This window comes from Homo sapiens, chromosome 1 (genome assembly GCF_000001405.40).
Source record: "Homo sapiens chromosome 1, GRCh38.p14 Primary Assembly".
Classification (NCBI taxonomy): domain Eukaryota; kingdom Metazoa; phylum Chordata; class Mammalia; order Primates; family Hominidae; genus Homo; species Homo sapiens.
In genome coordinates, this window is record NC_000001.11 from 2,921,162 (window position 1) to 2,926,310 (window position 5,149).

A 5,149-nucleotide genomic window follows, 5' to 3' on the forward strand; every position below is an offset into this window, starting at 1 on the left:
GGAAGCTGTCTCACTCATGGCAGCCCCCCCAAGCCCCCCACCTCCGAGAGACCCTTGCCTGTTCCCCACCTCTGCCCTGAGCCGCACTCCCCCACCCCTGCCTTTCCCGTGGATGCGGGGACCCGCATCCCCTCTCCCTTCACAGCTGAGTGACCCACATCCCCTCTCCCCTCGCAGCTGAGTGACCGGTGTCCCCCGCTCCTTGCACATGTGGAGCTCCCAGCTGCAGCATCTCGGGGGGAGGCATGGGCAGAGCCAGCTCTGCAGGAGGGCGGCTGCCTGTGTCCATCTGTCCATCCAGCTCTGCAGGAGGGCGGCTGCCTCTGTCCATCTGTCCATCCAGCTCTGCAGGAGGGCGGCTGCCTGTGTCCGTCTGTCCATCCAGCTCTGCAGGAGGGCGGCTGCCTGTGTCCATCTGTCCATCCAGCTCTGCAGGAGGGCGGCTGCCTGTGTCCATCTGTCCATCCAGCTCTGCAGGAGGGCGGCTGCCTGTGTCCATCTGTCCATCCAGCTCTGCAGGAGGGCGGCTGCCTCCGTCCATCTGTCCATCCAGCTCTGCAGGAGGGCGGCTGCCTCCGTCCATCTGTCCATCCAGCTCTGCAGGAGGGCGGCTGCCTCCGTCCATCTGTCCATCCAGCTCTCCAGGAGGGCGGCTGCCTCCGTCCATCTGTCCATCCAGCTCTGCAGGAGGGCGGCTGCCTCCGTCCATCTGTCCATCCAGCTCTGCAGGAGGGTGGCTGCCTCTGTCCATCTGTCCATCCAGCTCTGCAGGAGGGCGGCTGCCTCTGTCCATCTGTCCATCCAGCTCTGCAGGAGGGTGGCTGCCTCTGTCCATCTGTCTATCCAGCTCTGCAGGAGGGCAGCTGCCTTTGTCCATCCATCTGGGCTCTGGGGCCGAGTTGGGCTCCCCTGTCCGTCCATCCAGCTGTGCAGGAGGGCAATTGCCTCTTTCAATCCATCCGTCCATCTTTGCAGAAGGTTGGCCGCCCCGTCCGTCTGTCTGGGCTCTGGGGCAGAGCTGGGCGCCCAGGAAGTCGTGGCGCCGAGCCCCCTGGTGGTGAGTGGCTGCCAGCGCGGCCGCCCACTCTGTCCTGGGCACCGCTGCCAGCCCAGCTCCGTCCCCGTGTGTCCCTTGGGGTCCGCCTTCCCTGGGGCCCTACAAGCACTGAGACTGGGACTGGGGATCTGAGTATGTGGCCCCACCGTGGGGGTCCAGGCAGGGTGGCCAGGTTGAGCAACTAAAAATTCAGGAAGTGCAGTTCAATCTGAATTCAGATCAACAATCTGAATCAACGAGGTTTTGTTCAAATCAGCGATGGGCCACATGGGTCGGGTCAATGATGTTTGGGTTGAGGCACAGCCCATGAAACACTGAGGACGTAGTTTCACTAACAGTTTAATCACTGATGTGAAATTCAGAGATAACTGGGCACGTGGTATTTTTTCTGGCACCGCTAGCCGTGAATGTGTATGGAAAATAAAGAGTCTGGAACCGCATGGGAGACTCAGGAGCCAGAGCCCGGGGTGGATTCCATCCCTGAACCTGCAGCCCTGGAGAGGCCTGGGCTCAGCTGCACCCCTCAGGGCTCAGCCCGAAAGCGACTGGGTCACCACTGTCATCAAAAACACCTTTATGGACCTGTAATCCACATACCATACAATTCACCCATCTGAAGTGCACAATCCGATGGTTTTCAGTAAATGCACATAAAGGCGCAACCACGACCACAAACAGTATGAGAACATTTTCATCATCTCCAAAAGGAACCCCATACCCTTAAAAAACCATGAGGGCGAGGCTCTCCCAGCCCTGCCGAGCCCTGGTCACCTCTAGCCCACGGTCTGTCTCTAGGGACCCCGTGAGCCTCCCCCAGCCCTGCCGGGCCCTGGTTACCTCTAACCCACAGTCTGTCTCTAGGGACCTTGTAAGCCTCCCCCAACCCTGCCCAGGCCCTGGTCACCTCTGGCCCACGGTCTGTCTCTAGGGACCGTGTGAGCCTCCCCCAGCCCTGCCCAGGCCCTGGTCACCTATGGTCCGTGCTCCATCTCTCAGGACCCCTCGGTCTGCACATTTCAGATACATGTCACCATGCGTGGGGCAGCCTATGCCCAACTTCTCTCCCTCCTCCTCACGCTCTTGGTCAGCCCGCATATGCTCGTGTGTGGGTGCCGCTGTCCTTCTCCTGGCTGACCATGACCCCCTGCATGCGTTCACCACATCTATGGAGCCATTTGTCCACCCAGAGGCATCTGTGACACCTTCACCTTTTGGCGATTGTGAACTTGTGCGGCCGCGAATGCGTGCGCCTGGCTTTTCGTGGGCTGCTGTGATTCTCACCCGCCCCTGCTTTGAGCCCTTGCCCCCACCCTGGGCCCCTCCACTCCCTTCCCCCTTCCCCAGGAAGCCCAGGGGCCTGGGGTGCCTCCTAGTGGGGTTCGCTGCCTGGCCGCGGCTCTGAGTTCTCCTCCCCGGGTGTGCACAGGGGCCCCAGAGCCAGGGAATCTTCGAGGGGCGCTTTTCTCCGGATTCCCGAGGCCGGGGCGTGCAGGAGTTTACCTGGAACGTGAGCAGCTTTCCAGACGAGTTCCAGACTCCAGAATGCTCCAGAATGCTCAAGGGGCTTCAGGGCAGGGTTGGTTCTACTCTCCCGGGACCAAATCCCACCTGGGCTCTGTTAACAGTCTCGGGCAAGGCAACGCTGGGTCCCCAAGTCTTTGAGCAATGGAATGGCAGCTCTTGGGGCCAGGGTGCCACAGAAGGAGCAGGCGTGGGCCAGCTGTCTCATCATCCAGGTCCTGCTTTGCCCAAGACCCCCAGGACCTTCAGCGACTGCCCCAGGCTGCAGGCGCCGCCTCTGACTCCGATGGTCTGGGCAGATTTGGAGGCTGCTGACAAAGGCTCCAGGATGAAGTCCTGTGCAAGGCCACTCCACGCTCATGACTGTGGGTCCAGGGCTGGGGTTGGCCGTGCCACACAGGAGGATGAGACGGACGGAAGCCACCACGCAGGAACGAACAAGGGATGTCCCACGATGGCGGCCCCTCCCCCAAGCCTCCCACCAGCTGGCTTCGGGCGGCTTTGTGAGCAGGCACCCAGGGCCAAGACTTGGGGCCAGATGCAGAGAACAGGCCAGGCTTCCCACCCAGGGATGGGCCCGGAGGCTCAGGTTCTCCCCTGGGGTCAGCGTCATCCTGGGGCATGGCCCCTCCACCTCTCTGTCTTCTCTCTTCTGGGGGTGCGGCGGTCACACGCATGCAGTGGAGAGCACTGGGACCCAATGAGGCAGGGGAGGGAGCTTCGCCCTCTAGGACATTTTAGGAGGGCCAGCCCCCAGCCCACCTTCACTGCCCTCCACCCTCAGCAGGCAGGCCCCATCCTGAGCGGTCAAACATCTGCCTGTTCCCTGAGTGGCCGCGGGTGTCCCCACGTCCCCTCTTGGGGCTTATGGGTCACACTTTTCTCTTTCTGCCCACCTCCCGCCCCTGAGTCTCCACACACCACGATGTTTCCATGACCTGACTGCCATGTCCCCTGTCTGAGAGGCCTTTGCAGACACCTCCCAAAAGACAGAAGGAAACACATCCTCCATGGGGGCTGGAGCTCTAGTCGCTCCCCACTTGATTGGCTATGGGGGCACTGTTGTTTCAGGCTTTCCTGAAGGCAGCCCAGGCCCCAAGCTGGGGCCAAGAGCAGTGCTGTCAGCAGGAGAACGACCCCTGGGGGACCCCCTGGACCCCTGTTAATGTGTCACCTCACACGGCAAAAAGGACTTCGCAGATGGGATGAAGTTAAGGATCTGGGATGGGTGTTATCCTGGCTTGTCCGGGTGGGCCCGATGTGATCACGGGGTCCTCCTCATAGGAGGAGGCAGGGGGTCAGAGCGGGCAGAGGAGGAGATGGGACAGCGGAAACAGAGGTCAGAGGGATTGGAAGACGCTGTGCTGTCAGCTTTGAGAATGGTGGAGGGGCCAGGTGCCCAGGAAGGTGGGTACACAGGGCAGGACGAGGGTGCTGGGGACTCTTGGCTGCCGTGCTTGGGCCTGGGCCCTCCCTGAGGCTGGGGCTGTCCTGTGTCCAGGGCTGGACATGCAGAGGCCATAGGCCTGGGGTGCCTGGCTGTTCTGTGGGAACCCTCATGATCTCTTCTCTGGAATGCAGCCCCCCGACCTATGTCAGCCCCCAGCACCAGCCTGGGTCTGGGTCTGTCCTCTGTCCCCCGAGAGTGGACCTCACCCGGCAGGCTCTCTCCACCCAGATGGAGCCGCTGGCCTGGGGGTCTGGCTTTAGAAGCAGCCTTGTGGCATGAATGCCAGAACCCGCCCAGCCACGGTTCCTGGGCCGCAGGTGACAGTCCCGGGGCTTGGCCCTGGGGGGTCCCCTCTGTATGCGGGGTTTGTGTGCACCCTGGAATCCCACAGGGGAGGAGAGGGGCACAGTGCAGGCTGCTCGATGCTGAGTCTGGGGGTCGCCAGCCCTGGCTCTGTTCTTTATGCCACGGGATGGGGTCCCCTCTGCAATGCCTGCGGTGGGGAGCAGCTTAGCGCATCCCCAGATTCTTCCATCCAGCCAAATGTCTGTATTTCTAAGGTAAGAAGGATTACATAGGCCCTTCTATTATGATTTTTAAAATATGGAATTCTCCAATGTGCTTTCGTGGGGAGTTTCATGGTGAAACATGCTATCAACAGGGTTCTGGGAATACATCTAGATTTTAAATGCTTGGACAGTGTGAGATCTCACACAGGCACATCTCATCTTTTTTTTTTATTGGCAGGGGGTTCAAGGAGCTAAATTTCCTTCCAATGAAAACACTACCGGCCCCTGCCACCACCCTGCCCTGCCGTGGGTGAGGCTGGCTTCATGGAACCTCATTTCCTGGCAGAATCCCAAGTGTGGGGTGAGGAATTCCACAGGACTCTCAGCCTGCTGGAGTTCCCAGGCGAGGCGTGCTGACTCGGGGCCAGGCCTGAGCCACTGCTCCCAGGGGACTCCGGAGGTGGCCAAGGAAGCCGGGCTCGAAGGCCCTTGAAGCTTCCCTGTTGGGTGTGGGAAAGGGGAGCTGCCGATGCCCCCAGGGCCTGCTTCAGGTTTTTAGGGTCTTGGAGAGGAGGGAATTGATTCTGAGAATTTCAACAGCTGCGGGAGGGC

At 60.9% G+C, this 5,149-nt stretch overlaps 2 annotated features.

Annotated features, from left to right (window-relative positions):
• Positions 1–560: an enhancer, noted in NCBI's record as "H3K4me1 hESC enhancer chr1:2837727-2838286 (GRCh37/hg19 assembly coordinates)". NCBI's record gives its function as "activates a minimal SCP1, AML or CMV promoter by ChIP-STARR-seq in naive H9 embryonic stem cells {active_cell/tissue: H9 hESC(naive)}" and the evidence as "EXISTENCE:reporter gene assay evidence [ECO:0000049][PMID:30033119]".
• Positions 941–1,000: an enhancer, noted in NCBI's record as "active region_57". NCBI's record gives its function as "activates an Ori minimal core promoter by ATAC-STARR-seq in GM12878 lymphoblastoid cells {active_cell/tissue: GM12878}" and the evidence as "EXISTENCE:reporter gene assay evidence [ECO:0000049][PMID:35858748]".